Here is a 22556-nt window from a genome sequence, read left to right as displayed (position 1 = left end):
CTAATTCCAGAACATTTTGATCACCCCCCCAAAAAGATCTGTACCCATTAGCAGTCACTCTCCCTCATCTCCCTTCCCCTCAACTCCTGGGAACCATAAATCTACTTTGTCTCTATGGATTTGTTACTCTGGATATATCCCATAAACAAGATCATACAATATATAGCCTTTTGTGTCTAGTTTCTTCCGCTTAGCATTATGTTGTAAATGTTCATCCATGTTTGAGCATGCATTAGCACTTCATTCTTTTTTATGGCTGAATAATGTTCCACTGTATGAATACATTACATTCAATTTGTCTTTTTTGCTACTATATTACATTCAATATATTGAATATTGAATATATTACATTCAATTTCACTTTTTTGCTACTATGAATAACACTGCTATGAACATTAGTGTACAAGTTTTTGTGTAAACATGTGTTTTCAATTCTTTTGCACAGTACTTTGTGATTTTTAATGTAAGGTCCACAGATTGTGTAACTTCCCACTCACCCATTGTGTCTCCTTTATAACTACCATGTTTTGGTACTCAAAGTTGGCTAAATGAATTTCTAATAGACTTCAAGTGTCTACCAAATTGCAGTCCTTGTGTTTTTCAACTTTGTCTTTTTCTTTCTCTTAAACTGTTTACTTATAGCCCTCAACGACATGCAAAGGCTTTCTTTTCTGCTAGTTCATTTTATTTGTATTTTCTGTGTTATTGTATTCCCTTGCCAAAGCATCTTGCAGATCAAAAAGTTTGGGGAATATTACAGACAGAGATATGTTTATTCTTAAAGTCTTAGAGTATGTATTAATTAGGTTAAAGGATTTATAAAGGTACCAATATAAAAAATAATCAAGTATTAGTCTTATTTAAATTCATTAAGTCTTGCTATTCCAAGCAACTTTCCAAAACAATCTTCCTACTGTTCAAACACTACTGATAAACTTCAGCTATAGAACATAGTACATATGTGGCATTAAGTAAGGTTTAAAATCTAAAAGTTTATGACCTCCAAAGTTATCAATTATTTAGAAAATAAAAACAAAGAGAAAACCTGTTATGAAACTGAAAATGTGCATGGTTTTTAAGTTCTCTTAACACTGCACTTTTAGTATCAACTGACCAATAAAAGCTTTCAATTTGAGCCTTAAAGTATTTTTGAACTATGAAACAAAAACTAAACTGGCTTTATCCAGTATAAGCTGTCCATGATTAAACATTCATGGACCTTTACAATTACTCCAACAAATAACTTTTCATCTTTCTTTGTTGAGACAGGGTCTCACTCTGTTGCCCAGGCTGGAGTGCAGTGGCACAGTCACAGCTCACTGCAATCTCAACCTCCTGGGCTCAAGTGATCATCCCACCTCAGCATCCCAAGTAGCTGGGACTACAGGCACATGCCACCATATCTGGCTAATTTTTAAATTTTTTTTGTAGAGGCGGAGTCTCACTATGTTGCCCAGGCTGGTCTTGAACTCCTGGGCCCAAGCAATCCACCCAACTTGGCCTCACAAAATGCTGGGATTACGTACTCCGGTTGGCCTTCTTTTTGTCTTTCAAATAAAGAAAATAATGCCTAGTGATGGGAAAGGACCAGCTCACGATCAACAGAAAGTAGACAGCAAGTCAGGACCAGGTCACAGGTCTCCTGACTCTCAATCTAGGGTGTTCATCAACTACTCCATGGAGTAGAAAGCTTAAATCTGTAACTAGAATAACCATAACTTAGAATACTGATACTGTGTTACTTGAGAGCTGAATTTAGAAGCTTTATTATTTTTAGCCATTAAAAATAACTCCAAGCCTGGGCAACATGGCAAAATCCCATCTCTACAAAAAAAATACAAAAATTAGCTGGGTGTGGTGGTGCATGCCTATAGTCCGAGCTACAAGAGAGGCTGAGGTGGGAGAATCACCTGAGGCCAGGAGGTCAAGGCCGCAGTGAGCCATGAACATGCGACTTCACTCCAGCCTGGGTGACAGAGCGAGACACTGTCTCAAGAAAAACAAAAACAAACAAAAACCTCCAAATTTAGAGCTAAATTTCCAAGTCTCAGTCATTTAGAGTTTTGGCCTTTAGAATTTTGGTTTAAAATAATAGTTGTTTCATGGGAATTAATATGGATAATGTCACCTTTTTTAAAAGAAAGAAAAAACATTAATGACAATAATAGTGGAAACAAGCATTTTAAAGTACTTACATGCCAGGTGCTATTCTAAGCATTCATTCATTTTAAGTGATTTAATCCTCACAATAACCCTGTAAGTTAGGGAGCATTATTATTGACATTTAACAGATGAGGAAAAATGAGTCACTGAAAGGTTTAATAACTTGTCTAAAAAGTAGTACAAAGTAGTACTACTGGGATTTGAATCCAGGTAGTCTGGTTGCCAAGCCAATGCTCTTATCCACTATGCTGGCTGCTTCTTAAGTAATGTATTTTCCAACACACCAAACATACTCAAACCTTTAAGGTAAGTAGAGCCATAATCAGGCAAAATATTTTAAATGAAATTATACTACAACTGCATTGATACAAAATTATGTAAAATACTATTATTTGGCCTTTGGTTCCAGTGTCCACTTTTCTATATTAAAAAACTTCAGAAAACGGGATTTAATAAAATAAGAATAAAGTCCAGAAAGTGAAGAATATTTAATAAGAAATTCAAGAATAAGGAAGATGGCAGAAAAACTCTCAAGAAAAACAAAAACAAGCAAAAAAAAACCTCCAAATTTAGAGCTAAAATTTTAAATGAAATTATACTACAACTGCATTAATACAAAATTATATAAAATATTATTATTTTACATAGAAAACCATTTTTTTTTATATACAGGATCTTGCTATGTTGCTCAGGCTGGATTTGACTCCTGGGCCTCGGCAATCCTCCCACCTCAGCCTCCCAAAGTAGCTGGGATTACAGGTGTGTCACCACACCTTGCTAGGGAAAGCAATACTTAAAGAAGTTTTACTCATTGCAAAAAAAAAAAAAAAGCTGATCTGAAAGCTTATTCAATTTGTTAATGGGGCATTAAGCATATATAGACAATTAGAAAATAAAAGGAAAAATGTAAATTTCTCAACCTATGTGCTTGATACAAATTAACAGTGACTCAGGCTCTTATGTCTACGAAGGAACTCAAATTTTCAGAGTTATTTTAAAGATGAAAACATAATTTGTTTGAATATAGTTTATGAGCGCCTATAATTTTTCCTTCAGAAACAGAGTATGCTTACATTGGTATCAATAACATTTCTAGAAGTGAAAAATACATAAACTACAAAACAAAGTCTGACCACTTGCAAGACAGAAATTAGGATCACCTGTTATTATTTTAAATTCTGAACTATAAGACAAACTTTTACTGGGAAAATGCAAGTTAATCTTCTGCACCCTAGAAATTTTTTTTACTGAATAACTAAACCATATTAGAATAGTAAAGAAAATTTTTTTCAGTTAATTCATTCTGTTGTGGACTCAATCATTATCCATATGCCAATGTAGTTTTTTTCTTCAAGTACATCAAATCCATAATTTAAGTGGCTTCAAACTAATAATGTTAAATGGTTATTTAGCAGTACACGGTATCATTCTACAATATCAAAAAATGATTGATGGATACAAACATTTAAAAAATTGGCCAGGCACAGTGGCTCATGCCTGTAATCCCAGCACTTTGTGAAGCCGAAGTGGGAGGATCACTTGAGCCCAGAAGTTAGTTCAAGACACCTAGGCAACACAGTGAGACCCTCCATCTCTACAAAAAATTTTAAAATTAGCCAGGTGTGGTGGTGTGCACTTGTGGTCCCAGCTACTCAGGAGGCTGAGGTGAGAGGATTGCTTGAGCCTGGGAGGTCGAGGCTGCAGTGAGCTGTGATCACACTGCTGCACTTGGGTCTGGGCAACAAAGCAAGGCTCTGTCTCAGAAAAGAATTTCACCAATGTAACACAAACGATAATTACTTGTGCTAGAAGGATTAAACACTGCCTGGCTATTACAGCTATTACAGACAAGTCCACATTTAGTAAAAGGGCACGCTTTAAATCTGTCCTGCCCAACACAACTTTCTGTGATGATGGAAATGTCCAATAATCTGCTCTACCCAGTGTGGCAGCTGCTAGTCACCCGTGGCAATGAGTACTTAAAACATGCCTAGAGAGACTGAAGAAAATTTTAATTTTATTTAAAGTTTGGTTTTAATTAGTCATTTGTAACTAGCAATTGCTACTGTACTGAATAGCACAACTCTAGATGGACCTCAGCAAATTCTTCATTCAAAAAATGTAGTCTGTGTTCCAATCATCCTACAGTAAGTAGTTCAGTGAGGGGTTGAAATAGCATCCTAAATACAAGCTTTAAATTAGATACCATACAATGAAAATTGTTAATCTTTGACAAATCTAAACATCTTAAAGAGCTGATCATTATATTGCCACTCATCCTATTTATTCTGGTAATACACTGATTTTCTAACATTGTTTTTCTCTTGCAATGCCCAATGGGCATCAAATTAAAAACTGAATCTTCTTAGTTTTATTAAGTTAAAATTCTTAAATATGATGCATTTGTATTGTTTTATATATAATATTCCTGTCTTATAAGCAAAAATACAAAAAGCAAAAATCTCCATTGTTCATGGATAATGTACCCAATGGATAAATGGCTAATTCAGGTGTGTTTTTAATACAATCTAGCAACCTTTATAATCAATTACTTTGTTAATGAATAAAGACAACTGTTTTTAGAGCAACTGAAGATATAATGTGCCACTTCTTGTCTTAATTTTAAAAATGAATGAGCTGACCTTTTAGTAAAGAGAAAATCTTCAAAAGTATTGGCTAGTTCTGGCCACATACTGTCAAATTTTCCAGAAGAAGCATGCTGCCGGGCAACAGGTAGCCCAATAGAAAGAACTCTGAGGAGAGAGGATACTGCTAGTTTCCATGTGCTTTCAGAAGGGCAGGAATACTTCAAACTGAGAGGAACCCTAAGAGTCTGAAAATAAAGACAGTTTAATATAAGCATTAATTAAAACATACACACACAATTTTAATTAAGAAAAACTACAGCAGAGAAAAAATAGCATAGGTATTTTCATCTTAAAAAGGATGGTATTTTCATTTAAAAAGGATGTTATTTCGCAGAAAGGCCAATTCTCAGACGTAGTCCTCAAATACTGCCTGGAAAGATATACTTTTAAATCCTATCTCTATCTTATAAACAATGAGCCTACATAAATAACATTTTTGAACCTCAGTTTTTCATCATAAATAATAGGGATATTATCTGAAAAGTTAAGAGAAGGAAACACAATTCTGTACCTTTTCTTAACCCGATGTTATGGATTAGAAAATTCTGGCCAAGCGTGGTGGCTCACGCCTGTAATCGCAGCACTTTGGGAGGCCAAGGTGGGTGGATCACGAGGTCAAGAGATCAAGACCATCTGGGCCAACATGGTGAAACCTCATCTCTACTAAAAATACAAAAATGAGCTGGGTGTGGTGGCACGTGCCTATAGTCCCAGCTACTCAGGAGGCTGAGGCAGAGAATCGCTTGAACCCGGGAGGCAGAGGTTGCAGTGAGCCGAGATCACACCACTGTACTCCAGCCCGGCAACAGAGTGAGACTCTGTCTCAAAAAAAAAAAAAAAAAAAAAAAAAAAAAGAAAAAGAAAATTCTGCCATAGTTATTCCAGCAAAAAATAATTTGGCTGATGTGGATATCCCATATGCAAAGGGTCAATATTGCTTATGCAGTCATCTGCCACATATATAGGTTAGACCATATAGCATAGGTGTGAAGTAGGCTATATCATCTAGGTTTGTGTAAGTACACTATGATGTTCAGACAACGATGAAACGGCCTAATGATGCATCTCTCAGAACGTATCTCGGTCCTTAAGCAGTACATGACTGTATTTTCCCACTAATGGTGAGGGAAGAGTAAACACAACATAAAATGTCAATACTTTGAAGTTGTATGTTCTATCTGTAAAATTATTTGAATTTTATATCCTACTCTAATATTTTTGTGTACTTTTTTACTTCTATTTTTGTGTACTTTTTTCCTTCTCCAAATAGTTCAGTAAAACTGATAATTTAAGATTTGACCATTGAGGGGTACAGGAGTAGAGCGTTTGAGTCATGTACAGTGACTAGATATATAGTGACTAAGTATAGTGACTTCTCTTTTCAACTGATCAACTTTTGAGACAGGTGGCTTTTATTTATTAAAAGAACTAATTTGGTGGTTCAGAATGAATTTCTCTGATCACAGTTCTATCTTGCAATTAGAACACTAGATTAACCAAAACATCATAATGAACTAACACACAGCACCACTGACAAACAGTTTTGGCATACTGTCAGGCAATTTGCATTAGAGTAAAAATTCTGCTGTTACGTAAAAATTTGGGTCTAAAAGTAGAAAAATTTTCATATTTCAAGGACATAAAACCAAATATCATCATCTTCCACACAAATTATTACTGAATACTCATACAATATACATATTAACCATTACATATTAGCTTGAAATGTGCCTTCATTAACAGATAATTAGCACACCCAGAATCTATTTATCCCCTTCCCCTCCTTCCACCTCCATATAATCCATGTGCTTTGGGAGGAACTGTCCCTACTTCCAGTTTGGGAATTCAGGCAAAGAGATGATGAGTTGATTAAGCCAATGAATCCAATCAATTTCCCTGGCCATAATCATTGGTTCAAGAGTGGGTATGGGACCAAAGTTGATCCACTAAAAATTAATTTTAGGAACTTAAGAAGAAGAATAGAAGTGTGTGAATGTGTGTATGCAGGAACATACACACTCTCTCTCTTCCTCTCTCTCTTCCTATTGGACATATAATCTTGTTACTGGCCTACAGCTATGAAGAGAAACGATATGGTCAATTCTTAGCAGAACTTTCTGGAGAAAGAAATGTGGTTTTTGATGATACTGCTGAACCACTGGATCAGCCAGTCATAATGGCCTTCCTCTATCTTTGAATTTTCCAATTAAGCATGCCCAAAAGTTCCCTTTATTGTTAAAGCTAGTCAGAGCCTGAGTGTATGTCATTTGCAACCAAAAGAATACTAAGTGATATAGGGCCATTTTGAGTTTACATTTTATAACTCAAGCTAAGATAAAAGAAAAGTATGGTTTGCTACTGCAATTGATATTTTATTAAAATCAAGAAAAACATTAAGCATAGCAGATCCATTCAATTTATATATTTTATTTTTAAAAATGTTTACACATCTAAACAGGAAGTGGTATACAGTATGTGCTCAGTAATTGCCTGTCACCACAAGGTTCACAATTTTGGAGAAAGAGCCTTGTCCAATTAACCACAAAACAATGTGGTAAGTGGCATCAATGAAATGGGATTATAGAAAAGAGATCATTTAACTCCTTTAAAAATACAAACTGAGTGGCTCGGCATGGTGTTTCATGCCTTTAATCCCAGCACTTTGGGAGGCTGAGGTGAGCGGATCACTTGAGGGCAAGAGTTCAAAACCTGCCTAGCCAACAAGGTGAAACCCCGTCTCTACTAAAAATACAAAAATTAGCCATGCGTGGTGGTGTGTGCCTGTATTCCCAGCTACTCAGGGGGCTGAGGCAGGAGAACTGCTTGAACCCGGGAGGTGGAGACTGCAGTGACTGAGCCACTGCACTCCAGCCCAGGCAATAGAGCAAGAGTCTGTCTCAAAAAAAAGAAAAAAGATGTATACATATATATAAACTGAGGCCAGGCACAGTGGCTCACACCTACAATCCTAGTGCTTTGGGAGAAGGAGGTTAGAGGACTGCCTGAGGCCAGGAGTTTGAGACCAGCCTGGGCAACAAAGCAAGATCCAGTCTCTATAAAAAATTTAAAAATCAGCTGGGGGTGGTGGTGCCCACCTGTAGTCCCAGCGACTTGGGAGGCTGAGGCAGGAAGATCACATGAGATCAGGAGCTTGAGGCCGCAATAAGCTATAATTATGCCACTCCACTCCTGCCTGGGTGACAGAATAAAACTCTGTCTCTAAAAAAAATAAAAATACACAAACTGATTCATATTACTTTGTAGTGTTTAATCCTTCAATGGTTAAAGAATAAAGTCTGATCTTATGATGGCTTAGAAGACCAACAGTTATGTTTTCAGACATATCCCAGGTTCTGAACTAAATTTCTCAACATTTCTTAAAAATATACCATGATCTTTAACACGGCTTAATTTACCTATAATACCTGCCTCCCCCTTTTTAACCTAACTCTTAACTTTTTCAAGTGTCATCTCTATTAATTCTTGCCCAAATCCCCTCAGCAGTTGACTTAGTTTTTTGTCTTTCAGAGGAACTCAATTTTTATTCAGCACTGACTACTTGGCAAGCATCATTAAATGCTGTATCTCAATGGATTCTCTCATTATAGGTAAGACATGTAAGTAGTATTGGTATTATCCTTCTTTTAAAGACGAGAAACATGCTCAGATAGGTCTATTTGCCAAAAGTCATAAAGCAGTAAGCCAGTAACAGTGGACTATTCGAAGTCAGGCTATCTGAATGCAAAGCCTCCACTATGGTCTTTACCTAGCACTTAACATACTGTAGTATTACTTGTTTGCCTTTCTTTATTCTCCATATTGAATTATTAAATCTAAGAATCATTTTATTCATTTTAAAATTGCTAGCACCTTGTAGAAAGATGCTTCAAAAATATGCTCAATAAATAAAGTGAGAGGATAGTTTTGGTGAGGTAAGCAGTGAGGAGAGAAAAGTATCGTGAAAGTCAAGGGAAGAAAGAGCTTTCAGAAGGCTCAGGTTTCAGAAGGCCAGTACCATGCTATAGGGAAGATAAATCATTAGAGAAGGACTGAGGATGTGAAGATTTGGTCTTTTGTAAGTTTAAGAAAGCAGTTTCTGTGGAGCAATATGGACGTAAGCCAACACACAACAGGCAAAGAGTGAGTGGTGACTAGGTGAAGGCCACAAACTGTTTAAGGGATATGGAAATAAAGGAAAGCTGAAAGAGGATGACAATTTGAGTAGTAAGTACAGTTGAGAGAAAATTCTTGTAGTATCCAAGGCTTAAGAATCCTTGTATGAGATGGCTGAAAGAAAAATGAAAATAATCACCAATGAAGAAAGGTTGGGATAGATGAGTCTTTAGAGAAGACAGCTCAAGTTGGTCTGGTATTTATACAATCAATATAAGGTACATCCACATGCTAGAGGAAGAACAAGGTTTAGGGCTAGTCCTTCAAAACAGAGGGAAAAACAAGAAATAAGCCTTAGAGGAATGGAACACAATCAACAAGAATCTTTTAAATGGCTGTCCATATACTAAAAAAGTGGCTTTAAAAAAGTCAGCATGCATGTTCAGTTAAGTGTATGGGCTGCATTGTGAATTTCTCTCTGAATGCTCATCAATCTTGAACCTTGAGGAATATTGTCCTAAGAAACCCCCTCACTGGGTTATGTGGGAAAATGTAAGAACTGTAACAAATTTTTTTTAATTATACTTTAAGTTTTAGGGTACATGTGCACAACATGCAGGTTTGTTACATATGTATACATGTGCCATGTTGGTGTGCTGCACCCATTAACTCATCATTTACATTAGGTATCTCTCCTAATGCTATCCCTCCCCCTCCCCCCACCCCACAACAGGCCCCGGTGTGTGATGCTCCCCTTCCTGTGTCCATGTGTTCTCATTAAGAACTGTAACAAATTTAATGCATATTTATGTTAAAATATTTTTCACTAAAAAGAACTTTTAGAAAAATGGCTTGCTAAATACAATTCATGAATATTGGAGAAAAGTCATTACAAATAATACTACAAATTGTATTTTCTATTTATCCCAATATAATGATAATGTATTACCTAAGGAATAATTTCAATAATGTTCACACCATCTAATGAAAGTGTAGAAATGAAAAAAAGATACCTTAATAATATTCTGGAGCACTTTCTCATTCACCACTGCTTTGTGACACGCTGTTTTTTGGTATAAATCCACAACTACTTCTAAAGACCTTTCAGCAAACGGCACATAATTCAAGGCTACCCATTCCGCCTAGAAAGTAATATTTTCACATGCAGTTAAAAATAAACTGAGATTAAATTAATCATATTGTTTTCAAAGAGAAAGCATCTTTGTCTTAAAGTTCAGGCCTTGGTTTTAGGTCAGATTATATTACATGCAAAGTTTTCAAAGAGATATGTACTTCATGAAAAAAATAATTTTCAGCCAGGCAAAAATTAAAACTATTGGAAAAAGCACATACAGCATTCTACCAAGAACCGGGAAAGATGTACTTTATTTGTTGCCAAGAGGTTAGGACAATTTTAGGAAATTTAACTCACCGGTGCAAATAGTTGGATCTATTGTGATTCCATTGTGTTGCAAGACAAATAGAATGAGAAAAGTTAATACATATTTAAACTACTTTCGGACGATATAAAATTATAATTTTTATGTTGAGTGAACAAAATCAGCATGGGCATGCATTCAGAAATTTACTTAAACAAAGTTAAAATTTGCCAACTATGGCTATAAAAATATTTTATATAAAATCCAACTAAACTTCACACCAGTAGTGTACAACTTCTTATTTAGTACAAACAGTTTCTTCATCTTGCATGGCAGGTATCTGTTTTAAGTAAGATTAGACTTAGGGATTTAGAAGCTGTTTTGTATTGGGATGGGGCAACCAAGAAAGAGGTACAAAGGAACTTATATTTTTCAAGAAAGATGTACTGGAGAGTAATATGAAAGGCCAAACTTTCTGAAGAATCAGTTGGAAGAGGAAAGTCATAAATGAGGAGAAAAAGAACACAGAACTAGTTTCCCAAACAATATTTCTGTTCAGCTTAAACTGCTAACAGACATGTATAAATATATTTGTGAGTGAAAAGTATCCTTTTCCGAGATAATCAAAGTCCATCTTAAGTGGAACTATCTGTATTTATAAGCCATGAAATCTTACAAAGTAAATAAAATTTACAGTAAATTACCTGATTATATTTTGCATTTGCAATGTGCTTTGTTTCCAGCTGTCCATACTGTGGAGGTTTACAGGAAAATTCTACAAATGCCAACAACTGGTCAAATATAGCTGGATACATTATCTGCATGTTTTCTGGTCCTACACAAATGGCCTATAAAAGCAAAATAAGAACATTAGAATGCATAATCTGAACTCCATTAAGTTCTTTACTGTGTATATATTTGTTTAACCACAGAATCTTAAAAACTGTCTTATTTTATGTATTATACCATCTTTTCTGAGCCCTAAAGGACACAAACTATTTTAAACTGTTATAGAATAAAGTATAGGCTGAAACTGTTAATCAGCTAAAAAATGTTCTTTTTTACAGTGTGATTTATTTCTTAAAAGAATAGAAAAAGGGCCAACAAAGTGAAGTCCCAGGCAGTCCTCAGGTTCTACAATCTGATCATTTGTTCAGTAATACAGCCATTAGGCCATTAAGAATGTGTGACTGACCACGATGACACTGACTTCAAATTCTGTGATATCAGTTCATTGAAATGACATCTGATTTCTGCACCATGCCTGGTCCACCAACTTAAACAAATAATCATGTGTGTTACAGTTGGGAAAATAAGTCATCTACGAAAATTTGTTTCTAAAAGAAATGTATGGATTAATTTTTGACAGGGCTGTGTATATTTAATGTGAAATGTATCTAAATATATCGATTTGATTTAAAATAAAATATTTTAATATAAGAAAACATTTTAATAAATAGTAACTAGTTTCTCTAGGTTTCTTACTTCAAATAATTTGATAGGAAGAAAGAATAAAATGCATATCATGATACTGCAGATTTTAATTATTTCAAATGTGTTGAAAATACTTAAATTGGGTTTTTTTTTCTAGCCACAAATTTTTCTTTTCGTATTTTCTTGTTTAAGTCTTCATTTTTCTCCATGAGAAAAACATTTAATGATATTATTTATGAAGTGTCTAAAATATACTTGTGCTTTATAAGACAAAAAGGATGATCACTTTATGCCTGAGAGGGTAGGTACTCTTAAAATCTTAAACCAAAATTCAAACCATTTAACTTTTTTAAAAAGTTTCTTTAAAAACAGTATGTACAAAATTTATTTTATGCACTCCATGGCTTTTAGCTTATTAGATAACACATTAGTTTTATTTTCCCTCAGAGGAGATGTAGCCATTTAGCTATAACGGAACTTTTAGATAAAACTGCACTGAGATATAAAGTAGATATGCAAGTGCTCCCCATACCCAAGTGTGATTGTCCTATAATTATAATGTAAGAAAGTAGTAAAAAGACATCTAATACCATGTCTCAATATTTTTTTCTCAGAAATAATGAAGAATTTGAATAGTAAAATTTATACACTCTAAAAATTCTCTTTACTGACTGCTTGTAATAGTTCTACTTTCTTCCTCATTAACCTCTTGCTGGATCTTAACTCTTAGAAGTAAACAAGTAGTAATTACTGTGGAAAAAGAGACTGAATTACTCTAAGTGAATTGTTTTATTTTCAATGTCTAACAACAACAAAAAACCTATGTGGGTACCTGAGAAAACTAAGTATTATAATTTCTTTGTAAGAATCTTAACACAAATTAATGACTTAACTATGCATTTTGATTTTCAATGGTCCTTTATGATAAGAAAACATACTAATAGTGTTATAGTTGATATATAGAGCAATTTGGGGACTTTAAAATGCATAATTTGGAACCCACAATTTTTTAACAACAAACTCCATCTAAGAAAAAGTTTTTATGGGCTTTTCTTCAGTATTCTGAAGTCTGAATATCAGAAAAATCTATAGAATAAACCTGATAACAAATTTTAGTCCAAAAGCTAAGAACTGATAAGCAATCTAGATAATATTTCCTATTAGTCCTTGAAAGCTGTCTATTTGAAGACAAGAAAAAATATTGAACACCTGATTTCTTATATTGTTTAAGGTTTCACTTACTAACTCATTTAATAATAATCTTTTCAGTGCCTGGCACGTACTAAGGTCTTTGCTAGAGAACTTGATGATGAAAATAACAACAGCTAACATTTACTGGATGTTTAACTCATGCCAGGCACTAAGTGCCTTACAAATATCCCACATAACAAGCAAAAAGTTGTAGACTTATTATTTTTACTTTATAGATGAGGAGGCTGAAGTATAGAAAGATTAAGAAACTTGCCCATGTTATTTAGAAGACAGGGCTTTGTTACACAACTCCAAGGGCATCATTCACATACAATGTGATGCTGTCTCCTGGAGTGCAACTCCGGCAGCCCCGGTGATTAATGCAGATATGGTATCCAGCCATCTGACTAAGAAGTTTAGCAAAAAATAAGACAGATGCAGTTTCCTGACTTCAGGACTTACAGTAAAGCACATACAGAAAGCAGATAATTAAATTCCCAGTTCCTCTATGTATGCTAAAATAACTTGGCAATACATAAATAAATAAATTAGCACATATAACTAAGTCAACTTGGCTGGGAACTGGTGGTTTGAGAACAAAGAGAAGACTGAGAACTTGAAGTCCTAAACAATATAAAAGCACTGAGGAAGAACAACATAAATGCTCCCCTTTAGAAAGAAAACATGATATCAGAAATCAGTTTATCTCTTAGGAAAGAAAATAGCTTTCTATCAATAAAGTGTTTTGCTCGATAACTATTAGTTTAAGGATAAAGTCCAAAAGCAAGTAAATTTGGCTTGTGCAAAAATTTTCTTACATCTGTGGAAAAAAATATAAAAACACTCTGATAATAAAATATACATTTTTCTGTTAGGAGATACTAGAAACCCATTAAAAATCTCACATTCAAGGTCTATGAAACATCATTTAGGTAATCATACAACACAACAATGGCTAGTGTGAACATTAATAATAATTTTAAAATAATATAAATTAACAACAATAACCCTTCCAAAGTTTCAGACTGTTTTCAAAGCTATTAAAAGCTCTGAACAAATTACTAGTAGTTGGGATAAATGATTCCACTTTTCCTCTCACTGCTAAAGCAGAGTTTTTTAAAAATAAAACTTACATTTTTTTCTGAAAAAAAAAAAAAGTTTCTTGTTTATCCTGTACACATATATAAAAACCTGAATCAAAGATCTGAATCAGAGTACCAGATTACGGGCATCTCAAAGGGCCTATGTCTTATTTTCTTTTCTGATAGGATAACTCTTCCATCCCCTGAAGTCTATAAGCAACTTATTTGCATGTCCAATGGACAGGGTGGGTAATTACTTTTCTTCCCCATTGAAAATAAAGATGGGTATTTTGAGTTCAATTGTAGAAAACTAATACCCCTACACTGAATTTTTTTAAATGCCAGATTCTTTTTTCCTGCACAACACAACTAGGGTTCAACAGTTCAAGAACTACTGCTCAGCTAAACTTCTTCCAGAGGTAATTAAGAGGTATCATCATACAGTAGAAATTCTTACTGTGAAAATTTTTATCATTCCAGTTGGGTAAGATGCAGTTAATCAGAAATCTAATTTACACTACACAAATGGTTACTGATAACATGTGTGATCAGAATCTAGATCTACTCCAATCTTATTAGAATGTTTTTACTTTGTTGGAATGGCTGGCTACTCAGTTGGCATTTTTTTAAAGCTTAGCATTTTGATGACTGTGAATTGTGCTATCAATTTTTCTTGCTAGTCTAAAAAACACTTTGAATTTGATCTAGCCTTGCTTGCTAATCTGAATTTGCTCCATAATTTTAGATCTGTTTATCTGAATAGTATTTTTTTTGCAATAACAAAATACACACAGTAAAAATAAATCTCTTTAAAAACCATGAGGAAAAATACTTTTTATAAATTTCTTTTTTTAATATAGGCTTTCAATAATTTCAGAACTAAATTTAAGCACAGATTAAAAAAATATAATCCCACTGCTTATTAATTTTCTAATTATAAAAGTACTTTACTAAAACTTTTATTCCAAATATTATATCCTCTTGTGAAGACTTGCGTGGACAAACCAAAAATCCTGGTGAAGTGAAACATTAGGATGCAGGCAGCTTCTTTAAGATTCAAAACATACATGAATTACCTTTCAAAATGCAACAGAAATCCACAAGTTTTCAAAATACCTAGATCTTGACAATCCTCAGTTTATCCCAAAGTATACATATAAAACAATCTTGATGATCTAAAATTTATCCCCGCAAATATATAGCAAAATAAAAAAAATTTCAGAGAACTATATGCAGTATTACTTAGCCACTAAAATTATATTACCTTTTGGAGAACATCTAAAGCTGTAAGTACAGCTTCCTGTAAACTTGTCAAAACTGCTTCGGTATAAGATGGAAGAATAAAAGGGGATGCATCTGAACTTATTGGGACTGAAATAGCACTGTGCAATATGACTCCCAACTTTTGCAAGTCATCCATATTGAAACCAGTTTTTATGTGTTGGTAGAGAGCTGGAAATATCTGAATTAAAGCTGTAAGAAAAGGCTGGCTAGGAATAAAAGTTAGTTTATCAAAAGTAATAGGAGGCTTAGTACTTTCAGATCCAATTCTATACCAGGTATTCCACGCAGCCCACCATAGATTCAAATCTTCAAGCTCATCAGTAACAATGGGTGGCTCAGAGCTACTATATCTTCCTAGTTTTTCTCCAATGGAATCTGTTCTTACAAATGGCCTGCTCATGCCTGATATGGGCCCTATAAGAACAGGCACAGGTACATTAACTACAGGTGGTGTCTCAGGCTTATCTGAGTCTCTGACAGGGGACACAATCTGTAAAATTTCCTGGAAGCTTTTCAGAGCAGCCAGAGATACTTCATTGTTTTTGCTGAGTGCTGCTGACTGTATATGGTCAAGAAGAACATCCCAAGCTCTTGAAAAATCTCCTATATTAGGAAGAGAAAAAAAAACTATTATCATAAAAGCGATCAAATTTTCTCTTCATATTAGACACTTGAAAGCATATTTGCTTAATTTTTCTGCTTAAAATCCTACAGAACTGGAAAATATATGACTAGGTACTAAGGTACTAACAATGGGAATTAAAATTATCACAACCTAGAAATTCAGTAAAAAAATTTTTCAGATATAGGAACAAAGGGCACCAAGAGGAGGATGATGGATATATCAAATAATGTTTCAATCTTAAAAACAAAACTCAGGTAGGTGACGAGTGCACTAAAATCTCAGACTTCACCACTATACAATTCATCCATGTAACCAATAACCACTTGTACCCCAAAAGCTACTGAAATAAAAAAAATTAAAAACCCCAAAATATGTATGTACTTATACATATTTATACCATTTCCCAGAACTTCTGCCAAAGGATAACAGAAAATTAAATCAACGAGGTTGAAACAAAAGCATTTCAGTAACATCTTCAGTCTACCCACCTTTATTAATGATTAAGTAAGAAGTTCTCGTTCTTAACCAGAGAATCATTGGAAAAGTCGTAACTTAGGACAGTATAATACATGTTTTTTTATTGGCCTAAATATTTAAGATAAACTATGTCACATTCATAAATCTTAACTTTATACTTTAGTTTTCATATTTAAATTATTTTAGAGCTGCAGAATTTTTTTCTTTTTTTTTTTTTAAGAGATGGTATCACACTCTGTTACCCAGGCTAGAGTGTCATGTGGTATGATCATGGCTCACTGAGCTCAAGTGATTCTCCCACCTCAGCCTCCCAAGTGTGGCTGGGATCACAGGCACATGCCACCATGCCTGGCTAATTTATTTTTAAATTATTTTTTGTAGTGATGGGATCTTGCTATGTTGTCCAGTCTGGTCTTGAACTCCTGGGCTCAAGCGATCCTCCTACCTCAGCTTCCTGAGTAGCTGGGACTACAGATGCACACCACCACACTTGGCTAATTTTTGTATTTTTTGTAGAGATAGGGTTTCACCATGTTGCCCATGCTGGGCTCAAGCAATCCTCCTGCCTCAGTCTTCCAAAGGGCTGGGATTACAGCCATGAGCCACCATGTCCAGCCAGATCTTTTCCCTACAGCAAACAAGCCTACTGGCTTTGTTAATAACATGGATTATTATCCACATACCTACATTAAAATGATGTAAAAAATTAGGAAAGTTGATATTTTCCAAAGCAGTACAACATAAGTAGGCTATGAAACATGTAAAATAAATAATCAAGGTTTAAGGACTTTCATTTTGGAAAGCTGATAAATGACCAGATTTTTTTAAAAAAGGGATAAACCCCAAATTCCTGGGAAAGCAGTCGGTTAATAGAAAAGCTTGAAGTAGGTCTGGTATAAAACAATAGGTACTATCTGCCTACTCTGGACAAACTGTAACACCTGCCTAGTTATATGCATCTTTCCCCTCCATATTCTTTTTATTAAAAATTGAGGGCTGGGCCCAGTGCCTCACATCTGTAATCCCTGCACTTTGGAAGGCCAAGGCGGGTGGATCACCAGAGGTCAGGAGTTCGGGACCAGCCTGGCCAACATGATGAAACCCTGTCTCGACTAAAAATACAAAAAATTAGCTGGGCATGGTGGTGGGCACCTGTAATCCCAGCTACTCAGAGGCCGAGGCAAGAGAATCGCTTGAACCTAGGAGGCAGAGGTTTCAGTGAGCCGAGATCACACCACTGCACTCCAGCCTGGGCAACAAGAGTGAAACTCCAAAACTCCATCTCAAAAAAAAAAAAAAAAATTGAGGTATAATTTACATACAATAAAAACACAGAATTTTAAGTAAACTGTTTAAAAGAGTTTTGACAAATTACATTTTAAAATGTCAAACAATTAAAACACTTCTACCTGTTGCCATCAAAGTTTAAAAGTCTCATGAATCACTATATTTGCCAATCAGAATGGTGACCTAATATCAGATTTAGAATATCCCGTGCCATTTAGGGAGAAAAACTCCTGCAATTTCTCTATTAACATATTTTATGTCAGAGAAGGGGTCCCTTTAAAAGAGTAGATATAATTATATATTGCACGTGGTTATGTTAAAAATATAAAACTTATTCTAAAATAACAAATATCATTTCTTAAAGTTATAAAAAATTATCAAAGACATTAACTGTCTTATGTCTTCATTTAAAAAAAATCTAAATCTAGGCTGGGCGTGATGGCTCACGCCTGTAATCCCAGCACTTTGGGAGGCTGAGGCAGGCAGATCACCTGAAGTCAGGAGTTTGAGACTAGCCTGACCAACATGAAGAAATCCCGTTTCTACTAAAAATACAAAATTAGCCGGGCATGGTGGCGCATGCCTGTCTGTAATCCCTGCTACTCAGGAGGCTGAGGCAGGAGAATCGCTTGAACCTGGGAGGCAGAGGTTGGGGTGAGCCAAGATCGTGCCATTGCACTCCAGCCTGGGCAACAAGAACGAGACTCCATCTCAAAAAAAAAAAAAAAAAAAAAAAAAAAAATATATATATATATATATATATATATATATATATAAATCTATTCGTTCTCAGCTTTTAAGAGAAATATCATGAAGGTACTAAAAATGATGCTCATTTTGTCAAAACTTAGCAAATGTACAGTGAAAATTTGTGCATTTCACTGTACGTAAATTTTATATGAAAAAATCCCAATATTTAAAAATACATATACCAAGCCCTAACATGCTAAATGGATCAGACACCATAAATAGTTTTTGGAAAAAAGGAGAAAAAAGTGCACATAAAGAACAATATACAAAAATGCTTATGGAATGAGTAAATATGCTTGTGCTTTAACATAAATTAGTTTAAAAAATGCCAAACACGAAATAATAAAATAGATAATATGTACAACATGCTCATAACTATGTACAAAAGTATCTCTGTTCACCTTTTTCTACCACCACCAGCATTACCACCAGAATTGAAAGTAGTATAATCGGCAACCAGGTTTCTCAGTCTTAGTCCATTGACATTTCTGGTTGTATAATTCTTTGTTATAGGAGGCTGCATTGTAAGATGTGTAGCATCAACCCTTGCCTCTACCCTCCCCAGATAGCAGTAATGCTCAACCTTCCCCAGTTATGACAACTAAAAATGTCTCCAAAATTGCCAAATGTCTTATGGGAGTATAATAGGCCCTGTTTGAGAACCACTGATATACACAACCAACAGCTTCCTAACCAGTCCAACAACATCCTGTCATCCTTCCTTGTTGCCATTCCATTCTACATATACACTAAGACATGCACTTTGTGATCTTTTTGAAGTGCATATTTGATCATGTCAAATCATGAATTAAAATCTATCAGTAGTTTTTTTCATTGCTCTTAGGATGAAATCCTTTTTTTTTTTTCGAGACAGGGTCTCACTCTGTCACGCAGACTTGAGTGCAGTGGCACGATCTTGGCTAACTGCAGCAACCTCCACATCCCAGGCTCAAGCAAGCCTTGCAACTCAGCCTCCCAAGTAGCTGGGATTGCAGGTGTGCACCACCACATTTGGATGATTTTTTATTTTAAAAAAATTTTTGTAGAGATGAGATCTCATTATATTTCTCAGGCTGGTTTCAAACTCCTGGGCTCAAGCTATCCTGTTGCCTCAGCCTTCCGAAGTGTTGAGATTATAGGCATGAGCCACCATGCCCAGCCTCCTAACTTTCTCCTAACACATTCTACATGATCTGGATGATCTGGCCTTTCACTACCTCTCAATCTCTTTGATAATCAAACTCTTTCTTATTCTCCTCATTCTAGACCTTTAAACATGCTAGCATCCACCATCTCTTTTCCTCAATCTTCTCCTGTCTCTTTTACATTCTCTCATTGACTATAAGGCTCTCCACACTTCGTCTTACTCTTGCCTGATGAACTCCTACTTACCCTACAGATCTCAGGAAAACTATTGCTTTCTCAGGAAAGTCCATCTGGAATTCACTGGCCAGGTCAAATACTTACCGAAGCTCACAAAGTACCACTCCTTGTAACACATCATTGTAGAAATTTCGCCTTTATTTATGTAATTATGGGTACTTCCTCATGCCCATGATAGCAAGAATGACGTGTATTTTGCCTTTCATTGTATCCTCTAGAGGCTAGCCCACAGTAGGTACAAACGAATGAAAACACAGATGCTTACACACACACCACACATAAAGACTAAGTTAAGATAGACTCTAAAAGAATCGTCTGTATTTTCCAAATTTCTTTTAACATTAATTACTTGTATAATCAGAAAAAAATGTACGTATACCTAAAGGCTGCAGCAAATATCTTCTAGTGTTGAAGATCCTTGCTACTCCAGCCAATGTTAATACCCACGTCTCAGCCCATTGCTTCTCGGCGGTGTCCCTTGAATGATGAATGAGAATATTGCCACCTCCAGACTCAATCTTTTCTTTGTCTGCAGTGGTAGAGGACTCTCGAACTCTGTCCAGTAGATGAAAGAGTACCTAAATATTTATTAAAATGTCATTTAAAATGCATTGATAATATAGCTTAAGTAATAGCATAGGAGCAACAGCATAAGAATCTACAAATTGTTACAAAAAATATACTTGACAGTCTTATCAATCCCTATATATTGGAGGAAACTGACCAATAGAGTAATTATACATTCTTTTTTTTTTTTTTTTTTTAGATGGAGTCTCACTCTATCATCCAGGCTGGAGTGCAATGGCACAATCTCGCCTCACTGCAACCTCTGCCTCCCAGGTCCAAGTGATTCTCCTGCCTCAGACTCCTGAGTAGCTGGGATTACAGGTGTCCACCACCACACCAGCTAATTTTTGTATTTTTAGTAGAGATGGGGTTTCATCATGTTGGCCAGGCTGGTCTCGAACTTCTGACCTGAGGTGAACTGCCCGCCTCGACCTCCCAAAGTGTTGGGATTACAGGCGTGGGCCACTGTGCCTGGCCATAATTATACATTCTTAAGTTTATCATGGAATATAAAAAAATAAGGTTGGGCACAATGGCTCACATCTGTAATCCTGGCACTTTGGGAAGCCAAGGTGGGCAGATTGCTTGAGCCCAGGAGTTCAAGACCAGCCTGGGCAACATGGCGAAACCCAGTCCCTACCAAAAAAAAAACCCAAAATTAGCTAAATGTGGTGTTATACATCTGTAGTCCCAGCTACTTGGGAGGCTGAGGTGGGAGGATCACCTGAGCCCCCAGGAGAGGTTGAGGCTGCAGTGAGCTGTGATCATGCCACTGCATGCCATCCTGGGCAACAGAGTGAGATCCTGTCTCAAAAAAAAAATTAAATTAAATTAAATGGATAAAATATAAGACTTGTTGAGGCATCAATGGAGAATTTATGGGTTAATGTATAAGAAAAGAACAAAGCTGGCCAGGCGCAGTGGCTCATGCCTGTAATCCCAGCACTTTGGGAGGCCGAGGCGGGCGGATCACGAGGTCAGGAGATCGAGACCATCCTGGCTAACACAGTGAAACCCTGTCTCTACTAAAAATACAAAAAAAATTAGCCGGGTGTGGTGGCGGGCGCGTGTAGTCCCAGCTACTCGGGAGGCTGAGGCAGGAGAATGGTGTGAATCTGGAAGGCGGAGCTTGCAGTGAGCAGAGATCACGACAAAACAAAAACACACACACACAAAGGTAAGGAGAGGGGTCCAGGACAAAAGTAGAATTACTGGAGATGGCTCACACCTGTAATCCCAGTGCTTTGGAAGGCCATAAAGTGGGGATGATTGCTTGAAGCCTAGAGTTTGAGAACAGCCGGGGCAATATGGTGAGACTATCTCTACAAAAAAAATTTTAAAAATTAGCTGGGCTTGGTAGTGTGAGCCTACAGTCCTAGCTACTCAAGAGGCTGAGGTGGGAGGATCGCTTGAGCCTGGCAGGTCAAGGCTGTAGTGTGCTACGATCAGGCCGCTGCACTCAAGCCTGGGTGACAGAGCAAGACCCTATCTTTCACTCACAAAAAAAGACCAACTGTAGCCTATGAATAATTTCTGTGTTTCTCAAAGTGTGGTCTCTGAACTAACCAGCAGCATCAAGCTTCACCCAGGAACTTGATAGAAATTCAAATTCTCAGGACTCACTCCAGGCCAAAATAATCAGAAACTCAAGTTCAGGGAGGGCTGACAATAGTGGCTCAAAAATCTGTGCTTTAACAAGTCTTTAAGGTGATTCTGTTATTCTCTAATGTTTAAGAGACTGAAGTAGAATAGTCTGGAAATCAATTACAGAAAATAAGACAATGCAAGGTGTGTGAGAAAAAAATCATTAAGAATTAGGCAGCAAGAAGATAAAAAATGAAGTTGCTTGAAAGGAAAATTAGAATCAGAAAAGTATTAGATTAAAAACAAACTGTATGGGAGAATTAAGCATGTTTGTGATCTGAGGAGGAACTATGGGATGGAACTGAAATACAAGACAGAAGGAAAGAGGGCTTTTACTATAATAGATATGGGGTTTCACCATATTGGCCAGGTTGGTCTTGAACCCCTGACCTCAGGTGATCCTGCTGCCTCAGCCTCCTAAAGTACTGGGATTACAGGTGTCAGTCACCATGCCCAGCCCATTAATTTTTTAAGAAGACATTTTGGGGTCTATTAATTTGAAAAACTCACAAAAGCAAGTGAAAGGATT

At 35.9% G+C, this 22556-nt stretch overlaps 1 protein-coding gene across 15 annotated transcripts in view; it reads right to left on the bottom strand.

Annotated features, from left to right (window-relative positions):
• Positions 1–22556, bottom strand: part of MON2 (MON2 regulator of endosome-to-Golgi trafficking) — a 133651-nt gene that overhangs the window by 24089 nt on the left and 87006 nt on the right. For 9 of the 15 annotated variants that reach the window (XM_017019045.2, XM_047428542.1, XM_017019043.2 and 6 more), the window contains 6 exons: positions 20196–20394; positions 15275–15897; positions 11008–11151; positions 10357–10374; positions 9938–10066; positions 4806–4996 (listed from right to left, as the gene is read on the bottom strand). In XM_017019045.2, coding sequence (XP_016874534.1) covers positions 4806–4996; positions 9938–10066; positions 10357–10374; positions 11008–11151; positions 15275–15897; positions 20196–20394 — 1304 coding nt within the window. Of the gene's footprint in view, positions 1–199; positions 2255–4805; positions 4997–9937; positions 10067–10356; positions 10375–11007; positions 11152–15274; positions 15898–20195; positions 20395–22556 lie in introns of those variants that run through there. The other 6 variants (XM_017019042.2, NM_001278470.2, NM_001278471.2 and 3 more) reach the window with 4 other exon arrangements.

This window comes from Homo sapiens, chromosome 12 (assembly GCF_000001405.40).
Source record: "Homo sapiens chromosome 12, GRCh38.p14 Primary Assembly".
NCBI lineage: Eukaryota > Metazoa > Chordata > Mammalia > Primates > Hominidae > Homo > Homo sapiens.
The sequence above is the reverse complement of the archived record's forward strand: the minus strand, read 5'-3'. Positions and strand labels throughout refer to the sequence as shown.